Source organism: Homo sapiens, chromosome 8 (assembly GCF_000001405.40).
Source record: "Homo sapiens chromosome 8, GRCh38.p14 Primary Assembly".
Lineage (NCBI taxonomy): Eukaryota > Metazoa > Chordata > Mammalia > Primates > Hominidae > Homo > Homo sapiens.
In genome coordinates this window covers 78,496,884-78,518,498 of record NC_000008.11, presented here as the reverse complement: position 1 = coordinate 78,518,498, position 21,615 = coordinate 78,496,884, and the positions used below count along the sequence as shown (strand labels likewise).

Sequence of the window (21,615 nt, the reverse complement as noted above, 5' to 3'; positions counted from 1 at the left end):
ACTATATTAAAATTCATTATTATTCTATATTAGTATTATTCAGAATAATGATGTATATGGTTAAGTATTTTAATAGTAGAAAAAAGGTGGTAGAATACAGGGTTTGTTGTTGATCTTGTTCTTTGTTACCTCATAGTTAATGTGACTGAGTAAAAATTCTAGAATCTCAAGAAGTTAATATTTCAAACCAAAACCCTGTTTAACACATAATAACAACAACAAAAAAGGAACATAAGGTTATTAAGACCCCAAGGGGCAGTTCCTGGAGTGGATCACTCAGTAGTGGGCTTTGCCCACCCCCTACACCCTCACCCTATGCCTCATATACTGAAGATGGAGACAAAGAAACAAATTCAAATCTTTCTAAAGTGCATTTTGTAAAAACGAAATTTGTAATAGAAAGGCAATAATGATATATAATATGATTAACACGATTTTCCATACTAGTGTCTTTGCTTAAAAATAATATTTGAAGAGGAAAGAAAGAGGTAAAATTTTAAGCTACCAACTCTGCCCCTCTTTTTCATTGATCTTCTAATTTAATTTACTAAAATAAAATTGCATGGCTGTTGAGTCAGACAGTCTCTGTAATTTTAAGTTTAAAGATAACAGATCTTCCTTTAAATAGAACATTGGCACACAGATACCCCACAATCTGGCTTATTGCAACTGTTCTCTGTTGGTGAAGTGGCACGTTTGCAATCCCCATAACAGCCATCTTAACCATTTCACAGCATATTATTCAAATGTACATCTCTAGGTGGCAACAAGGATAGGCACTTGGGCTCAGTAGCAAGGGGTCTGTGGGGAAAATCCTAGGACGAGGGATAGGAACCTGCAAATGGCAAGACAAACTAGAGGATACTCAACCAGAGGCTTAGATTGGGCAGCTCCATTGGCTTTCTGACTGCCTACGAGGAAAACCTCACTGGAAACTCTTTTGAGGTTCTTGAGGAATCCTAGAGGCAAACGGACTCCTCTGCCTTTTGGAAAGGATTTGTCCCAAATCTTAACAGCTAGCTGTCTCAAAATCCAACTGGACTAAAATTGCTTCAAGAAAAACTGGATGGACTGGCATTCACATTTTTACTTCTACCTATGCCTATGCATAGGGAACATCCCTCACACTCCAGTAGATTCTATCTGTCCTCTCTAGCTTTCAAGTAGCCACAGTGACTACAGCGAAGGGAGTTAATGGGATAACATGTTGGTACAGGGCCACAAGCAGGATATTTCATTCCATGCATTTGGGGGAAGGACACAGGTAACAGTATACAGGGAGAATACCGAATAAGAAATCTGTGTGAGGCAATGCCCTTTTTGGGACCTTGACAAAATCAGTCATGGAACCCAGGTGGTGGATAAGAGCTGACGAGAGTTGGTCTGTGAATGGGCACAGCATCTCCGAAAAAGATCAATGAAATGATTGACAGAGAAAATGGCAATTGAAGGAAGAAGCGATGTCAAGTGCTGCTCAACCCAAGCTGAACTCCAGGAGATAAGAGAAGTTTCCCCTCCAGATAGAGGCTCTTTCTAAAGGTTCAGTCTTGAAGCAGGTGTTTTGCCATTGAGAGGGGCACAGACCCATTCTGATAACTGGAAAGGGAGAGGACCAAGGACTACAGGAAGAGGGACGATTTCTGATTACCTCAGGCTGCTGCCAGGGACCTACTGCTCCAAATCCTCAAAATACTCAAGCGAAGGTAAAAGGCACAGAAAGCAAAAGAGTAACTCAAATTATTTTAAATTTTGAGTCCTCTTCACTGTCTACGCGAATCTGGCACTGAAATGGTAGATCACGTTCAAAAGAGTATAGAGGCAAGAACGCCTTCTTTGTTTGCCCAGTAACACTGCTCCTCCAACCTCTGCACTTGGCCGCCCAACATTTCCATCCTAGTTGTTGCTCCTTTTCTCATTGCAGAATGCAGCGGGGTTCTCCCCTTCTTCCCTCCGTGCTGCAAACCCCATTATTAACCAAGCGGAAAGCTCCACGCAGTGCGGCCAGGGCGCACCGGTGCCGGGCTGCTTACCTTCCCCGGACCTAGTCAGCGCAGGTCCCCGCGCACGCCGCCACGGGCCGCAGTCCCGCCGCGCCCGCCGAGTGCTCGGTCAGCTCGCGCCGGCCCGCGCCCCACCTGCCAGCAGCAGCCTCCGCTCCCGCCGCGGAGCTCCGGCTGCATGAAGTCATCCCCGCCCCGGGACGGATCACCACATTCCGCGCCAGCCACGGGGGGAGCGGGGCCGCTCCCGACCCCAGGGAAGGCAGCCTGGAAACGGCGCTCGACGATCGCTGCCCCGCGAGGTTGTGGATTGATTTTCTATTAATGCTTTTACAGCTGCAGCATCGCTGGATTATGGATTGAGAGAGAAGAGCCAGGGGGGCTTTCTCTGCATAGCGTCCTTCCTCCGAGCGCTCCCCCGTCACCCCGGCTGCATGGACTGTTCCATTTGCCCCTGTGGGTTTCCCACCCTCTTCATCTTCCTTATCAGCATTGTTCATTTGGCTGAATTTGAGAGCAGGAATTGTCTTTTAAGATAAACATTCAAGCACTACAAAAACATTTTAAATTGGTAATGAAGCTTTCTAAGCCCTTCATAGCTCTCTCCATCACCCCCGCCCCCGCCAACAGACACACACGCAAACACACACACACACGCACACACGCGCGCACACACACGTATGCACACAGCCAAACCACTCACAATTTTGAAAGCTAGAACCTTTCGCCCTCTCACCTACGTAATAGAACGGGAATCTCCTAAAAGACTGGAGAAGTGGGGCCAACCAGAGAAAGCGCTCAAAGAAACAGTGGGGTGGCCCCATGATTTTGTTGTGTTTATGGTGCACTTGTGCACAGATGTTCCCTCTAACATCTCTTCCTCCTACTTCCTTTGCTCTGGACCCCCTCCCCTCCCTGCCACATAATTGGGCAAACTGTTGTGGTGACAGCTGTAACATTTGGGAATCAAAAAGCAGAGTCTACATTAGCAAATGACTATCTCTCTTTCCCTAAGGATTTATGAAAATTTGCTTTGGGAATGAAATAAGCATGTATTCATATAAGCCCTTTCCTTCTCTTTTTAAATTAACACTAGCTGTTAACAAGACTGTTCTCTCTCCCCCACCCTCCCGTTTTGCTTCTTTCCCAAATCTCTTCAGGTTTGAGGGTTGAATGTTTAAGGAAAAATGGGACTAAATTTGCTCTCTTTGTAGCTGAGCCAGGGTTTCCGCCTAGCTGTTGAGTCATTTTCCAGTCGGGAGGTTCCTTGACACTAGGGTTCTGTGGAATGGAGTTCCCTCTTTTAACTTGCCTTGCTGTTTGAATTGACCGTCACTTGATACAGGCCAGCTTTACACTATGGATTTGTCCAGCAACCTAAACAGTGCAATTGCACAAGGCCAGGGAAGCACCTTTGCTAAATGAGATGTTTCCATCCATCTATCAGTCCCAAAGTTAGGTGATAATGTAGCCAACAGCTTTCCAACAAAACTTAGTTAGAATTCTTGGTCATAGAATATATGCTCTTTGAAAGCTAGAACAGCTTAATTCATCGCTCTGAGACTCACTTTCATAACATTAGCCCGTTAATATTACCATAGAGCAGGAGATTCTTAATCTGTATAAATGGAATTCTATTCATATACTCCTTTTATACAGATTAAGTATAATGGGAAAAATCTCATTTTTAGTTTCACTAACTTCTAACTGAAATTTAGCATTTAGCATGTCCTTTAAACATAATGTAGGCAACAAACCACAAGAATGTTAGGAGTACCTGGGACTTTGTTTCCAATAGAAACAACAGCTAATTCCTTATTGCTGTTTTTATAGATATCTCTATCACTACACTGATGTTATAATCAAATCATCACTACTTTTTTTATTTAATAGACTATATTTTTCAGCTTTGGTGTCCAGAAAAATTGAAGAAATAATACAGGGTGTTCCCATATATCCCATTCCCAGTGTCTCCTATTGACATCATACAATAGTAAGGTACCTTGGTGTAATTCTGGCATTGCTATAAAGAACTACCTGAGATTGGGTAATTTATAAAGAAGGGCTGGTGGTTCTGTAGGCTGTACAGGAAGCATGATTGGGGAGGTCTCAGGAAACCTATAATCATGGTGGAAGGCAAAGGGGAAGCAGGCAGGGCCTACATGGCTGGAGCAGGAGAAAGAGAAGGGGGAGGTGCTACACACTTTTAAACAACCAGATGTCATGAGAACTCACTACCACCAGAAAGCCAAGGGGGAAGTCCTCCCCCATGATCAAGTCACCTCCCACTAGGCCCCTCCTCCAAAATTGGGGATTACAATTTGACATGAGATTTGGGTAGGGACACAAATCTGAACCATATCATTGGGTTACAATCAATGAATGTATACTGATACATTATTACTAACTATAAATAAAGTCTAACTACATTTAAGTTTCCCTGGTTTTTACCTAATATCCTTAAATCTGTTCCAGGCATCCATCCAGGATACCACACTAAATTTAGTTGTCATGTCCCCTTAAGCTCCTCTTAGCTGTGATAGTTTTTCTTGTTTTTGATGACCTTGACAGTTTTGAGGAGTAGTGGTCAAGTATTTGCTGGAAGGCCTCACTGTTGCAATTTGTCTGATGCTTTTCTTATGATAAGACTGGAGTTGCGAACTATTGGCAGGAGAAAGAAAGAGGTAAAGTCCCTTTTCCTCACATCATATCAAGGTGCTATAGTACCGATGTGATTTATGACTGGTGATGTGTTGACCTTGATTGTCTGGCTGAGGCAGTGTTTGTCAGGTTTCTCTACTGTAACGTTATTGCCCATCCCTTCCATACTGTACTTGTAGGAAGTAACTACATGAAACCCAAACCTAAGGAGTGGGACTTTGGCTCTACCTCCCTGAGGGCAGAGTGTGTACATAAAGTATATGGAATTCTGTACAGGAGAGCTGTCTATTCTCTACCAAGTATTCAATTACTTATTGATATCAATATTATAGACTTATGGAGATGTATTATATTTTATGCCTTTGGTAATAATCAATTACTACTTTATTTTGTTGTTCAATTTGTTCCAGTTTTGCCCATTGGAAGCTCTTTCAGTAGGTTCCTGTGCTCCTTTGACATACCCCCTTTGATGTGTGAGTGTGCGTGTGTGTGTGTATGGCAGGAGCAGCAGGGCTGTTAACAATCCCTTACTTTATGGTATTATAAGTTCCTCCAGTCTCAACTTGTATACTTCCTTCTTCATTCCAAGAATCAGCCATTTCTTCATGGAGCCCTTGTTCCTTTTATGGGAGAATGGTAATACAAATCAAGATCTGGGTCCCAGACACAGTCATTATTGGCAGGTCATTTTGTTTAGGCCTTTCAACTAAGACAGTGAAGAAATATATGTGTATACTTACCCATGCATATATACATAAGTATTTCTATATGTGACCATTCTGTGTCTGTATTAAGCTAAATATGAGCACATACTTATGTTTCCAACTTTAATCCTTTAACACATAGATCATTCTAGCCTCCTCCCTTTGCTTGTCTGTAAATTCCTATTCCAATAGTGAGAATCATGGCTCCCATCATTCACTGTTATAATTGTTCAATTTCAGTGTACATGTAAAGCAGTATAAAAATTGTTAACCCTTTCCCACAATATCACAATTTTTAAGTAAATATATATAACTCTCCTATACTGTGTTTAATGAGTTTAAATGCCCATACCTTTGTATATCATGAATTTTGTTTTTAAATATTTTGATAACAGTATTTTAAACTTCGTAGTTTCCTTTCCAATTCTACGTATTATATTTTATGCATTGAAAAGCATCATTTTAAGAAGAGTTATGTAGGTTGCTTCAGATTGTCAAAGGGAGCCATGGCAAAACTTAGAATACAAACTGTAGACTGTTACTGTGAGGCTATAATGAGATGGCATGAAATTGCCACTCCAGAGCTTCAGGGAGCTGATACTCTGTCAGTGTTATCCTTGCATACTTGGGCAGGCTTCTGTCCCCTTTCTCCTTTGCAAGTTCTAAATACCTTGAATGAGAGAACATGTTCAGCCTTCATAATTTATCATTTAGTTGAAGGATTTGCTAGGTATCTCATGCTGAAGATAAAAGTCCTTATAAAGTAAAGAGGCAGGAGGATGAGAAGGTGAAGAGAACCAGAAGGTTGAGATGACTGTGAAGGTTAGAGATTTTGTAGTTGAACAGACTTGGGCTTGGATCCCCACCACTCACAGCCTGACTTTGTCTTGTTTCTGAGATGAAGACAACAATTGTCTCAAGAGTGAAAGATGTTTGATCTTTTCCTTCAAGTTGCCTGAGGCAGTAGGGATGCAACTGTGGCGACTTGGGACAGTCCCAGAACATGTTTTCTTGACCCCCCAGTGTAGTTTCCATCTGCGAAGCCAGACTCACTGAAGATAGTTTCTTGTGATAATATAGATACATTCATCTATCAAAGTATTCTTATCAGGTACTTTTTATTCATGGAAAGGAATCAGTGTGTTGATGGTGTTAAAGACAACAGTCAAAGACATTAAATGGCAGGATTGAACTGCTTCTGATACTCCAGCACGGTAAGAGGCATAGGGAAACCAGAAAGAAAAGGGGAAAGATATTGGGAAATGTCTTATGTCAACATATAGGGTTTGAATCTGTCTTCTTGGAACTTTACATACAGCAATATGTAATTTTTTTTAACCTATGACTTGTTATTGCACAAATTTTTTTTTAAAAAACCCTAAACTTTGGATCTTGACTTTGAGGTCTGCAATGCTTCCTTTCTGATATTCTCAAATTAGAGATCAAATGGCCTAGTGATATCATGAGTCTCAGCAAGGGAAAATGTGAAACCAGAGCCAGAGGCCCTGTGTGCTGGGAGCTGTCAGCATTTAGAAACACTCCTTTGGGTTAAGGGAGTCCTTCCAGAAAGGACTCATTTAAATGCAAATACACTATCAGGAGGAGTAACTGAGTATCTCATTTGCTGCCATTAACAATTTAGCAGAGATTAGATTCTCAGATTTATTATTGAGAGGAGTTGTCAGGGTGATTTGGCCCCAGCATCTGTCACCCCATTTCCTGCCAGGTCTCCTGTTCTCGTCACTCCGTAGGGGTCTGCCTGAAACTGGGAGCTTGGTCTACTAGGAAAGAATTGGGCACTTAGTGAATAATAATCAATATTGTTTTACATAATTTTGACTTAAGAGAAAGGGTAGGAGAAGGATTTCCATGGTAATGGTACTGTGTGTGTGTGTGTCTGTGTGTGTCTGCGAGGCTTTGGCTGATTAATCATGTGCTACAGAAGTCTTACAATTTTATGACAAAGCATCTACTCTTTTAATGAGGTCAGAAAGTAGATCATGTAAAATACATACAAATGTAATGCAAAGCTAGCAATAGAAACAGTTGCATTCAAGTAATCATAGGTAGTAAGAATTTTCTATACTAATATGAAAACATTTTGATATATGATACAGGGAACAAAAATCTATCATTTATGTGAAGATTGGTATTAGATCTTGAAGAGTTTCAGCAGATTGAACAGAAATAGGACAATGCAAGAAGGGGAAGTGACTACAAACAGAACAGAAACTGTTTTGACATTAGGAAGAATTCACTTTGTTGATACTGGTAAGGAGTTGACATAAAATTCTAGGTCTATGTAACACAGCTACTATGCTGTAATTGGAACTCCATATTTAATTGTGCAATGTCTATTTGCTTAGATGACATACCTAGTAAATGGCACATGATGCATTTCATACTGTGGTGTAAGAAATACTCAAATAAACCTTTAAAAAATTATTATGAAAGCATGGGATAAAACAAACTACTTAGGTGATGCTTTACATTTTTTTCACTTTTTTTATTTTAAGAATATGATGAAACCAATAAAATCCCCCTCTCAAGAAAGGTATGGTTTAATGAAAACTTTTCTACTGCAGTGAGTAGATTATCAAATAATATTTATAAAGAATTATGTCTCTATCATTTGTCATCAATGACAAATTTCTTCATCAATTTCTTACCATATACAATTTAGTAAATTATCAAATAATTTTAATAAAGAATTATGTCTCTATCATAATTTTTTTCATCCATTATATACAATTTAGGCTACTAAAAAGGTAAATAAGTTTAAAATAAGCTTCAATGAACTGTGTTCATCAGACAAGTTGATATTCATTCAGCAGATTATTTATGGAGTACAGTGTACTAGTACTGCTGTTCTAATCACTGAAGATACAAACATGGACAAATAAAGCTCTTCTTCATGGATATTTTGTCCAAGTAAAAGGAGACAGAATTTTTACTCTGTTCGTTCATGGCCCTTTCCATCAACTAATATGGCATGATAGTTGATGGAAAGGGCCATGAAGGAGCAGAGTAGGAATGCAGGGCTGGGCGTGGCTCACACCTGTAATCCCAGCACTTTGGGAGGCCCAGGCAGGCGGATCACCTGAGGTCAGGAATTTGACACCAGCCTGGCCAACATGGTGAAACCCCATCTCTACTAAAAATACAAAAATTAGCTGGGCATGGTGGTGCATACCTGTAGTCCCAGCTACTCGGGAGGCTGAGGCAGTAGAACTGCTTGAACCCAGGAGGCGGAGGTTGCAGTGAGCGGAGATCATGCCAATGCACTCCAGCCTGGGCAACAGAGACTCTGAGGCTCTGTCTCAAAAAAAAAAAAAAAAAAAAAAAAAAGAGAATACAGGTATAGGGGTAGTTATATAAGGTGGTAGGGGACACTTGGGCAGAGATTTGAAGACAATGTGAAAGCAAGATATGTGAACACTTGAAGAGGTTCAGCACATGCAACATACAAGTAGGTGAGCATATACATCATGTGTTCCAGGAACTGAAAGTTTACTTTCTTTGTAGTGAAATGATCAAACGGGGAAATTGTTAGGAGATGAGGTTAGAAAGGTAGGTGAGTGAATGTTCATTTAGAGCCTAAAAAGGCAGTGAGATTTGGGGGATTGAGACTTTGTTTTTGAACTTGCTAACTTTGTGTTTCTGATCAGATCTTAGTGGAGATGTGAAGTAGACAACTGGATGTACTAGTCTGAAATTCATGGGAGAGATATCATGGCTGTAGATGAAAATTTATGAATCGTCATGGTACCTAAAGTCTTTAGATCGGGTGAAATCACCTTGGAGGTAAGCGTAGGAAGAGAATAGATGATGTTTGAGGACTGAGCCATGGGGCATGCCAGAGGATCCAGAAGAGGGTATAAAAAGAAGTGAGCAGGGAGATAGGGAAAGTTGTCCCAGAAGCAAAGTGAAAAGGGGTTAGAAGGAGGAGGGAGGGTTTATTGCTCTTACACTGCTAGTAGATTAATATGAGACGTGATAACTGAGTGTAGGATTTGCAACATGGAGATACCTAATTTCCTTGATAAGAACAATTTCTGTATTCTTATCAAAGAACAAAAAAATAGTGTAAATGAGTAAATGAAGTGAAAAAATAAAAGGCAGCCTTTTAAAAGTAGTTTTGTTATAAAAATAAGCAAGAAATGCATAATAATTAGAGCAGGATATAGGAATAAAAAAGGATTTTTTTTTCTTTGAGATGGACATTTTTGTATGCTGTGGGAACAACTAGTAGAGAACAAGTAACTGATGACGCAGGAAAAAAGAGATACTCAGAAGGGATCTAGTGCAGGAGAGAGGATTTGGCCTTAGATCAGAGGACAAGTATTTCTTCCCCTAAAAGAGAGGGGAGGCAGAGCATTTGGCTTCAAGTAGACCCGGATAGGTTGGTAAACTTGATGTTCAGAGCTCTGGGAATTTTGCCTTGCTCTCACTTGTATTCCCAATGAAATAAGAAGCAGCTGAGAATTTAGAAAGATGAATTGGTACTGGAGATGTGAGGAAAGAGAAGTTTTGAAACAGTTGCCTAGTAGGGAGTGAAAGAGAACTGATTTGCGCTGAGTTTTCTAATAAGTACTAGCAAGTTCACTCAGGCTTATGATTATGAATTTAAAAGAGACAAATTAACAAAGTTGCTGGGTTTTCTCCAGCCATGGTTAGCTGCCTGGTGCGGGTGCTGAGTTGACCTAGGGTTCTGTTTCGCTGGGGTTGGCATTTTGTACAGCCAATACAACCGAGAATGATGGCCGTCGGAGCTCGGAGTGAATACAGCGAATGATTCCAATAGGAACCACGGACTCTGATCTGGGTAAACAGGGAACAGCATTAGACTGTGAGCAATAGTCTTATACTTGATTTTAACTTTATGAATCATAAGGGCTGAAAACCCTGACTCATAACAGTGTGTTAAGGGCAAACGCAATTAGAACTCAGTTTACTGTGTTGTAAAGAAATTTTCCATTTTTCTTTTAGTTGAATTCCTGTCTGTAATTTCTTGACTCTTAAGACGGTGATAGCATCTTAGGTGATATATACATTTTTGATAAAGTAATCTCAGAAATATATTTTAAAAATAAAATTTAAAGCTGTCAGAATAGAAATAAGTACAAGAGAGCTTACAGTGTTTTCAAGTGCTTTCCTTATCACTAAAGAGACATTTATATGATTTTGTTACATTTGACTCCAACTTTCAGATATACATACCTCCTTTGGCATTGAAAATAGGAATAAAAAGTAGAACTTAAACAAAAATCTTATCCTCAATGAGCTATACTAGCATTGTTTTCTTTCTAATATGGGCTTAATGTCATTAATGACTCCATTTTTTTTCTCCAAGGAATCCAGTTTATTACTAATTTTCCCTGCATTGTGCATGTGTTGTAAGTTTGCCCCCTTGTGGATGATTTCGGAACTGTCAACATTATTTTTTTTTTCTTGTTTTTAGTAGGAAAAAAGACTGAAAGTGTAGATATTGTCGTAAACGGGAATTATTTTTAAAGAAATGTGGAGACTAACCAAAAGAGGTTCAAATCATTGGACATTTACCTCTCTTCTGTTAGTTTTCAAATTTGCTATTATGTTAAGGTCCCCACTAACTGAATTTGGAAATGATGATAGTCAAATAAGTTAAAATGTTAATATTATCTTATAATAAGAGAATACAGAATTAAAAAAGCTAGTCTCACCATTATTTTACATTAAAAGTCTCAAACTTTTCAACTTAGTAGGATATGATGGCTTTCTTTAAATTAGCTTGAGATTATATAAATATAAATACAAGGCAGCCCGCAATTGATTAATCTTCACTTGCTAGGGTTGCATGTGGAATTATACAAATTATGAGAAATCCCATCCTTGATATTGTGCATACATCAATAAGTCTGACGTTTTATTAATAGTTTTCTATACCATATTAGAAAAAATATCTTTAATGCACTTAACTAAGCATTTGTGACTTGGCTCCTAGAGAGCAAGAAGTAGCATAAAACAATCAGTAATTTTTATTTACTATTTTATTTATAAAACATTATCTATTGATCACTTACTGTGTGCTTGGAACTACTTTATATTCCAGGGATAAGACCCAGTTTCTTTCCTCAAAATAGTTGCAATCCGATGGGGAACAAACCAATTGCAATAAAGTGTTATAAATTTTGCTGCAGAGTTTTGTACATAATATGAGTATACACAACACATTTTAAGTTAATTCTAGAAGAGTAGTTAAGGAAAGCATCATAGAAGAGAGGACCTAAGCTGCCTTGTGAAGTGTTTAATAGTTGAAGAGTTGGAGCCAAGGGATAGAAAGCAGAGGAGTTTAGCCTGAGGAAGGAAATATACACAGAGGTAATCTTGTGGCTTAGTCACCAGTTCTTATTGTGTACACCTGCTGGTAACTTCATCATCATCATCATCATCCTCATCATCATCATCATCATCATCATCATCATCATGCTGGCACTAGTACATACATACTTACTGCCACAAGTCAAATAAGCTCTTAATATATAGTACCTAAATGTTTTTTACCATCCACTTTATATTACAATTATTCTCACTTCACACACAAGAAAATGAGACCTTAGTTAGATTAAGTTACTTGCTTGAGCCTAGGTGTTACACTTTAAACTTTATGCTCTGAACCTCTGCACTTTGCTAGCTAGAATGATTTGTCCATAGGAAGAGCTCAAATACTGGTTAGTAAGCATAATAATTTCATAAAAAGCAAAGCAAAGTAGTCCACTTTGACATTTATGATGCAGGTTAGGGAACATGCTTAAGGGCTTATGGATGAGTAATTAAGATGAGAAATGCTCAAAGAATAGGGAAAATTGTATTATGCATGTATTATGGCAAAAAAAGAATCCTTTCTAATATCTAACTTCCAGTTCATAGTACGATATTTATACTAACACACTTAGGCAACATCAATGGAGTGTTCCCTTCTCCTTTGTGACAGGGCAATGTTGTTGATGCATGGAAAGAAAATTGACATTACCTGCACACTGTAACTCTTTAGGAATAAAACCCTTTGGGATTTTTTTATTTTATTTGTCAACTGGTGTATATGAATCATTTTAGGTGAAGAATTATTGCCTGATTGGAGATACTATGTTTGAATTTTCTACAGATAACAATAAACAACCTCTTTCAGTTTTAAAATACCATATCTGACAAATGAGTTGTTATGCTAAAGAGAGTAATCAATGCCATAATGTGTCTGGAATCTAAAATAAATGAGAAATAGCTAAAGGAACTGGGAATAGATGAAATGAGACAAGACCAGATGGGAACTAGGTGGCAGCTCTAAAATATTTGAGGCATTGTCCTTTGAAAAAAGGGTTAGGCTATTTCAAACAGAAGAAGTTAGACCAGTGAGCCAGGCTTAAGTTCATAAAAGGATGAACATTTTAATGATTGGAACCTTTCAGGAAATAAAATAGACCACATTTTAAAATTATAAACTCCCTGTCTCTTAATATTTCAGCAGAGATTGAAGCTAAGAAGTTGAGAAAGTAAATTCTAAGGGTCTTTACAGTGAGAAAATTCTATGGTTTTCTAACTCCTCATAAATTCGTGTAGTTCATGCATTCCACTCATCATGACACTTAATTGTATAAGGTTTTGAAAAGCCATCATTCAAAGCTGACATTTTCCTCTGCCACACCTTTTGAATCTTTTGTAAATATTATCTTCTACATCACATTTGTAATATTCCTAAACAGGATGCTTCTCTTCATAAGAAATTAAAAGAGGTTCAGAAATTTTCAAACTAAGTTTTTACCAACTGTATTATTAAGCTTAATTTACCAAAACACTTCATACATAAAGGCATGAGTTCCCATATAGCCTTTACTCAGCTTTCTCAAGTGTTTATATTTTACATAACCACAGTACAATTATGGAAGTCAGAAAATTTGCACTGATACCATTCTGCTAACTGCTTTACAGACTATACTCAAATACTGCCTACTGTCTCTTGGTCTAGGTTCATATCCAGGTTCACTTATCTCAGTATTTGCTATACCTCCTCATTCTCCTTCAATCTAGGATAGTTTTTCAGTCTTTCATGACCTTGAGTTTATGGAGAATCCTAGGCAGTTATTTTGTAGAATCTCATTCACTTTGAGTTTGTTTGATATGTTCTCATGGTTAGACTGAGGTTATGTGATAACTGGCAGGAGCACCAAAGGATGTTATGCCCTTCTCAGTGTGCCATATTAGGGAATACAAGAAATGTCTTATTACTGGGTGGTATTAACTTGGATGACTTGTTTATAAGGATAGCAGCAAAATTATTATTTTACCATTTAATATGCATTTTTCTGGGGAGATAATTTTGGATTGCTTGATTATTCTATTTCTTGTTTCATCCTCCCATACCAATTTTAGCAACTGCCAATAATTCCTGTTTCTACCAGTTACTTTGTTGTTTCACAAATGGTCATTTTCTATTCTCATAATTCCTTCAACAGTTATTAATTTAACTGTAAGGAAGCACTGTTCCTTTCCCCTCATTTGCATATTATTTATATCAGTGTATACTTATGGATATTTATTTTATTCTCTGTGTTAAAATCAATTACAATTATTAATTACATCATTGCTCAAATTGTTCCAGATTTGATCATTGGACTCCTTCAAATCATCTCCTGTGTGTTTTTTTTTACAGGGCCATACAATTTTTTGAGTAGTACTTTCCTTTCTTGCACCAGAAAATGCTCCAGTCCTATCTTTTACTTTCCCTGTCCCAGTTCTTAATCCATTATTTCTCCAAGGTGTTCTGGTTCCTTGAACTATATAATAGTAATTACAGGCTGGGCATGGTGGATCAGGCCTATAAATAATCCCAGCACTTTTGGAGGTCGAGGTGGGAAAATCGCTTGAGTCCCGAAGTTTGAGACCAGCCTGAGCAACATGGCGAAACCCCGTCTATACAAAAAAAACAAAAACAAAAACAAAACAAAACAAAAATTAGCTAGATGTAGTGGCACACACCTGTAGCCCATAGCCCCAGCATCTTGGCATGAATTATATTCATTACTAACCAGGTTACCTAATTGCAGACAAAACTAACATATACACATAAACATCTGTTTTTATATTTATTTATATGAATGTATGTTTATATATAGATATCTGTATGATTATCTGTATAAAAGTATGAGTTCAAACTTATATCTGGATTCCAGTCCAACTCAGGGTTTATTTTTCCCTCCTCTCTCACTCTTTCTTTATTTGTAACTTCTTATTTTCTTTCTTTCTTGTTTTATTATACTTTAAGTTCTGGGATGTATGTGCAGAATGTGCAGGTTTGTTACATAGGTATACATGTGCCATGGATGTTTGCTGCACCCATCAACCGCTCATCTACATTAGGTATTTCTCCTAATGCTATCCGTTCCCCAGCCCCTCACCCCTCGACAGGCCATGGTGTGTGATGTTCCCCTCTCTGTGTCCATATGTTCTCATTGTTCAAGTCTCACTTATGAGTGAGAACATGCGGTGTTTGGTTTTCTGTTCCTGTGTTAGTTTGCTGAGAGTGATGGTTTCCAGCTTCATCCATGTCCCTGCAAAGGACATGAACTCATCCTTTTTTATGGCTGCATAGTATTCCATGGTGTATATGTGCCACATTTTCTTTATCCAGTCTATCACTGATGGGCATTTGGGTTGATTGCAAGTCTTTGCTATTGTGAATAGTGCTGCAATAAACATATGTGTGCATGTGTCTTTATAGTAGAATGATGTATAAGCCTTTGGGTATATACCCAGTAATGGGATTGCTGGGTCAAATGGTATTTCTAGTTCTAGATCCCTGAGGAATTGCCACACTGTCTTCCACAATGGTTGAACTAATTTATACTCCCACCAACAATGTAAAAGCATTCCTATTTCTCCACATCCTCTCCAGCATCTGTTGTTTCCTGACTTTTTAATGATCGTCATTCTAACTGGCATGAGATAGTATCCCATTGTGGTTTTCATTTGCATTTCTGTAATGACCAGTGATGATGTGCTTTTCTTCATGTCTGTTGGCCGCATAAATGTCTTCTTTTGAGAAGTGTTTGTTCATATCCGTGCCCACTTTTTGATGGGCTTGCTTGCTTTTTCTTGTAAATTTGTTTACATTTCTTGTAGATTCTGGATATTAGCCCTTTGTTAGATGGATAGATTGCAAAAATTTTCTCCCATTCTGTAGGTTGCCTGTTCATTCTGATGATAGTTTCTTTTGCTGTGCAGAAGCTCTTTAGTTTAATTAGATCCCGTTTGTCCATTTTGGCTTTTGTTGCCATTGCTTTTGGTGTTTTAGTCATGAAGTCTTTGCCCATGCCTATGTCCTGAATGCTATTGCCTCGGTTTTCTTCTAGGGTTTTTTATGGGTTTAGGTCTTATGTTTAAGTCTTTAATCCATCTTGAGTTAATTTTTAAAAACTCTCAATAAACTAGCCATTGAGGGAACGTATCTCAAAATAATAAGAGCTATTTAGGACAAACCCACAGCCAATATTATACTGAATGGGCACAAGCTGGAAGCATTCCCCTTGAAAACTGGCACAAGACAAGGATGCTCTCTCTCACCACTCCTATTCAACATAGTATCGGAAGTTCTGGCCGGCGCAATCAGGCAAGAGAAAGAAATAAATGGTATTCAAATAGGAAGAGAGGAAGTCAAATTGTCTCTGTTTGCAGATGACATGATTGTATACTTAGAAAACTCCATTGTGTCAGCCCAAAATCTTCTTAAACTGATAAGCAACTTCAGCAAAGTCTCAGGATACCAAATCCATGTGCAAAAATCACAAGCATTTCTATACACCAATAACAGACAAACAGAGAGCCAAATCATGGGGGAACTCCAATTCACAATTGCCACAAAGAGAATAAAATACCTAGGAATCTGACTTACAAGGGATGTGAAGGACCTCTTCAAGGAGAACTACAAACCACTGCTCAAGGAAATACGAGAGGACATAAACAAATGGAAAAGCATTCCATGCTTATGGATAGGAAGAACCAACATCGTGAAAATGGCCATACTACCCAAAGTAATTTATAGATTCAATGGTATCCCAATCAAGCTACCACTGACTTTCTTCACAGAATTAGAAAAAACTACTTTAAATTTCATGTGGAACCAAAAAAGAGCCCTTATAGCTGAGACAGTCCTAAGCAAAAAGAACAAAGCTGGAGGCATCATGTACCTGACTTCAAACTATGCTACAAGGCTACAGTAACCAAAACAGCATGGTACTGGTACTGAAACAGATATATAGACTAATGGAACAGAACAGAGGCCTCAGAAATAACGCCACACATCTACAGCCATCTGATCTTTAACAAACCTGACAAAAATAAGCAATGGGGAAAGGATTCCCTGTTTAACAAATGGTGTTAGGAGAACTGGCTAGCCATATGCAGAAAACTGAAACTGGACCCCTTCCTTATACCTTATACTTCTTTCTTTAACAGTGAGAAATGGATTCTCATGATCCACATTCTATTTACTTACTTGTTTAGTCCTAGAATACACATAATAATTTAAGAATTGTGAAAAAAATTAATAAGTTGATATGGTTTGGCTCTGTGTCCCCATCCAAATTGCATGTTGAATTGTAATTCTCAGTGTTAGGGAGGGAGCTGGTGTTAGGTGATTGGCTCATGGGGGCAGATTTCCCCCAGCCATTCTTGTGATAGTGAGTTCTCATAAGATCTTGTTGTTTAAAGGTGTGTAGAACTTCCTTGCTCTCTCTCTGCCTCCTGCCACCATGTGGAGAGGGTGCTTTCTTCCTCATCATCCTTCTGCCATGATTGGAAATTTCCTGATTTCTCCCAGCATGCTTCCTGTATAGCCTGCGGCACTTTCAGTCAATTAATCCTCTTTTCTTCATAAATTACCCAGTCTCAGGTAGTTCTTTATAGCAGTGTGAAAATGGATTAACACACAAGTACAATATTTGTGTACAATTCTTTTTGTCTTTAGCCTTACAGTATGTGTAAGCTCAAAAGTGTATTGTCAAGACACTGTTTCCTAAAGTTTAGGTTAGTTTTTCTGCACTTCAATGTAATTTTGTTATTTGTTTGTAATCAAGTTAGGCTAATTTGTCATGGTTTGTGTTCCATTTTGAGATCTTTCCAAATCCTGCTTGATTTTAAATATTTACCTGGAAATGTACGATTTTCCATTTTTTTAATCTCAGGATTATACAAAAAGGCATACTAATAGAAATGTCATTCCTTTTCATCCCTTCTACTCCATTCTCATTCTACTCTTCTTTCTGCCCAGTTTCTGTCAGCTTCCTGTAGATAATCAATTGCACTAATTTCTGGTTTACCTTTCTACATTTCTTTTTGCACAAATGAGCAGATACATGTCCATTTTCTTACATTTCCTTTTTTTGTTACATGGGAGGTGATATATTTGTAGATACTCATATATACTTTGTCTTTAAGGTATTGTGGTGATCACTCTATATCATTTGATATTCTGCAAATCTTTTCTCTCTCAATGAATGACATCATGATCTGTATACTGACTCAAAGCAAAACCTAGGAATAAGGCTTTATTCTTTATTTTTTTTCATTTTTCATTTAACGTAGAATACATCAGTGAGTTTTCTATAATCTATATTCAAGTGTATATATATATATATATCTAATATATATGTTCTTATTTCTCTTCATTTTCATGGTCATCATCTTAGTCTATGCTACCACAATTTCTCCCTTGTTCTACTTTGAGAAATTTTTATGTAATGTACCATACAAATCTGACCATTTCAACTATTTTCTTTCAAAACTATTTAATGGCTTTCACTTGCATCTAAAATAAAATCAGAATCCTTAGCCTTGTAGATTTTAGCCCCTATCAATCCTCCCAACTGCATCTTGTCTGCATTTCCTTCATGCGGGTATTTGATTATTTACCCAGATACGCTCTAAGATTTCCCATTGCAGGGCTTTTTAGTAGCTAGTTTTTTCATGTAATGTTCTTATTCCTTCTCTTTATCTTGCTTCTTACTCTTTTGTTTCAGCTTTAATGTCGCCTCCTCCTAAAGGCCTTTGCTGCCACCTTTTCTGAAATAGGTTACCACCCCTTCAGTCATTCGTTAGTCAGTTTGTGTCCTCCTCAGCAGCTCATATAAGTAATAAAATGTAGAATTTTAGGTTGATATGTAATTGTTGTACATAACTTTGGGGTATATGTGATATTTTGATACCTGTGTACAATGTACAACGATCAAATCAGAGGAACTGGGATATCCATCACCTCAAACATTTAACTTTTATTTGTGTCAGAAAAATTACAGTTCTTCACTTCTAGCTATTTTGAAATATACGATAAATTATTAACTAAAATTTCCCTTCTATATTATTAAATACTGGACTATATTTCTTTATCTAACTGTATTTTTGTATTCCTTAACCAACTTATTTTTATTCCTTCCTTTGCTGTTCCCTTCCCAGACTCTGGTTAAACACCATTCTTACTCTCTACCTCCATGATACCATTTCTTTTGCTCCCACATTTGAGTAAGAACATGCAATATTTGTCTTTCTGTACCTGGCTTATTTCACTTAGCATAATGTCTTCCAGTTCTATCCATGTTGTAGCAAATGATGTAATTTCATTCTTTTTTAATGGTGGAATGGTATTCCATTGTGTAGATATACCACATTGTCTTTATTCATTCATCTATTGATGGCCACTTAAGTTGATTCCATACCTTGACTATTGTGAATATCTTGCTGCAATAAACATGAGTGTGCAGGCATCTCTTTAATATGCTGGTCTCCTTTCTTTTGGATCTAAGCCCAGCAGTGGAATTGCTGGATCATATGGTAGTTTTATTTTTACTTTTCTGAGGAACTTCCATACTGTCTTCCATAAAGGCTCTGCTACTTTACATTACCACCAATAAAGTGTAGACTAACAGATACTTTTTAATATCAAAATGTAGCAAAATTTTCTTAAAAATGATATTAGTGAAAGCATTATATGATAAGTTTTCTGAACTGTTCATTAACTTGAGAGGGCAATACCATCATGTATCTTTTGTTTTTCACATTAAAATGAACTCAGGTTCCTATTTGCCAGATTGTGTATGTCAATATTCCTCTCTTGTGGAAACCTTCTCTTCTGAATGATTTTGAAACTCTGGACTTTATGCATTTCAAGAGGGTAGCAGGCCAACATTTGCTTAAGTGTGACAAGGATGAACTCTGATCAGGTCCTTCCTGTCACTGCTTATTGATACCACATTGGTAGCTGCAGACATATGGTCTTCCACACCAGTTAGGTAATGCTATCCACTGATCGAGACCCCCCTGTTGATCCAGATCTTTGTGCACCCACCACATTGAGCTTCCAGAGTTTTGCTTATCTCTTATCGAATGACCAAGGTTCACTGGACTCCCAGCGTTGCAATTCTTAGTGTTCACATAATTTATTCCCACAGATAACCATTGTCCATGGCTCAACCAACCTAAAAAATTAGAGCTCTTTAGGCATTTGCTCCTGTGGATCAAGAGCCACTGACTATTTTATTTTCCTTGGGATCTATACCACAGGTATTTAGTTAGAAAATTTTATTTTTTCCCATTTGAAACACATCTTCATGAGGGCTCATAACTAGATCGTATATAGGAGTTATTAAAAGTCATCTCTAAAAGTGATTTCTTACATAGAAATTTAAAAAATCACATCTAATAATATCCTAAAAATAAGATAAATCACAATAAATATGATTTTAATATATATAAGTATATAAAACTTTAATATCTAAAAATATAAATATATATTTATAATGTATAATATGTACATGTATCATTTATGTATATGTATGTTTATACATACAAGTATATATGATATGTTGGCAATAATAGCATGTATTGTGGACATTAAGAGATAATTTTTATTTTCTTTATTTTTTGATATTTACTAAATTTTCTGAATGAACATACTTTACATTCATAAATATTCTAACATAGACATACTTTCCTCAATTGAAATGCAGTAAATTTTAAATACACTCAGTTTGATTCATAACAAAAGGAAAGTGGTAGTTAATTGTACTGGAGATCGCTGGTTTTCCAGGTATTTACTATTTGCACAAATGCAAACTTAGATCTTGTCTTTTCTTGCAAATCTTGTCTTTTCTTGTAAGCATACATACACACACACACACACACACACATGCACACACACACACAACCCATGATTGTTAATTTTTTAGTTTTTGTTTTTCCTTTTATTCTAGTGTGATAAACTTAGGAAACAAAGTCAAACCCCAAAAAAATAAGCTTTAAAAATACATTTGGATAGTATTCTTTTTCTCTGGAACGTTCCTCTAAAGTAATATTGTCATTAATGTCAGTACATATTAATTTTTTTTCCTGGAACATGAATGCATGGTGATGTAGTCACACTAGAAACTGGAATCTAAGTTTTCAAATTCAAATTCTAACTTTAATCAACTGCAGTGTATCATAGTGATTAAAAGCATGGGAATTAGAATTAGACATCTGGGTTGAGTCTAACTTTGCTCCTTACAAGGTGACCTTAGGTGAATCATTTATCTCTCTATGCCTTAATTTCTTCATTTATAAAATGGACATGTTAAAATTATTAATATTCAGATTTAATGAAAGAAATGCATGTTAGGGCTGAGTACGCATGAGGCAATTAACAAAGTGACTAGTTAACATTAGTTGGTATTGTAATTACATTTTCTTTGCATATATGCACGTTTCCATGATTTTCTTGTTATAAATTGTAAAAGTATAGTTTCCTTTATAGGTGAGTTTTAAGATGTAAATAAGGCAATTTAAAATGTCTTGATATTATTTAATTTTCAATGCCTAGCACCAGTATATGCTCTAGATTCATCATCATGAATCAAAACCTGTTGGTAAAACTGTCAAGTTGCCAAAACATTTTCATTAACTGCCATTCATTGAACCTTAAGTCCTAAGAAGGCTTTCTGATGTAGTAAGGCATCTACATTTTATACTATTTAAGAACTAATACCATCACTATTCTATTTTTATTATTAAATATTATCCTTTTCCATTTACTTTGTAAAGTATAAATATTGAATGTCCTGGAATGAGACAAACTATCTTTTGATCTGAAAAAGCGTAGAGAGGCTCAATGCTGTTGAAAGGAGGAAGACAAAGAAGAATAGGGGAAGCGGCATTCCTTCCTCCTTCACAAGAGGGACAGGATATCAGAG

At 37.2% G+C, this 21,615-nt stretch overlaps 1 protein-coding gene and 1 long non-coding RNA gene across 4 annotated transcripts in view, besides 2 other annotated features; one reads left to right on the top strand and one right to left on the bottom strand.

Annotated features, from left to right (window-relative positions):
- Nucleotides 1-2,159, bottom strand: part of PKIA (cAMP-dependent protein kinase inhibitor alpha) — an 88,928-nt gene extending 86,769 nt beyond the window's left edge. For all 3 annotated transcript variants that reach the window (XM_017013620.1, NM_006823.4, NM_181839.3), the window contains exon 1: nucleotides 2,031-2,159. The gene's annotated coding sequence lies outside the window, so the exon portion shown is untranslated. The remainder of the gene's footprint in view (nucleotides 1-2,030) is intronic.
- LOC105375911 (uncharacterized) overlaps nucleotides 1-21,615 on the top strand; it is a 268,808-nt gene that overhangs the window by 147,481 nt on the left and 99,712 nt on the right. The gene's annotated exons all lie outside the window — the stretch shown is intronic.
- Nucleotides 1,485-1,594: an enhancer, noted in NCBI's record as "active region_27545". NCBI's record gives its function as "activates an Ori minimal core promoter by ATAC-STARR-seq in GM12878 lymphoblastoid cells {active_cell/tissue: GM12878}" and the evidence as "EXISTENCE:reporter gene assay evidence [ECO:0000049][PMID:35858748]".
- Nucleotides 1,915-2,214: a silencer, noted in NCBI's record as "silent region_19308". NCBI's record gives its function as "represses an Ori minimal core promoter by ATAC-STARR-seq in GM12878 lymphoblastoid cells {active_cell/tissue: GM12878}" and the evidence as "EXISTENCE:reporter gene assay evidence [ECO:0000049][PMID:35858748]".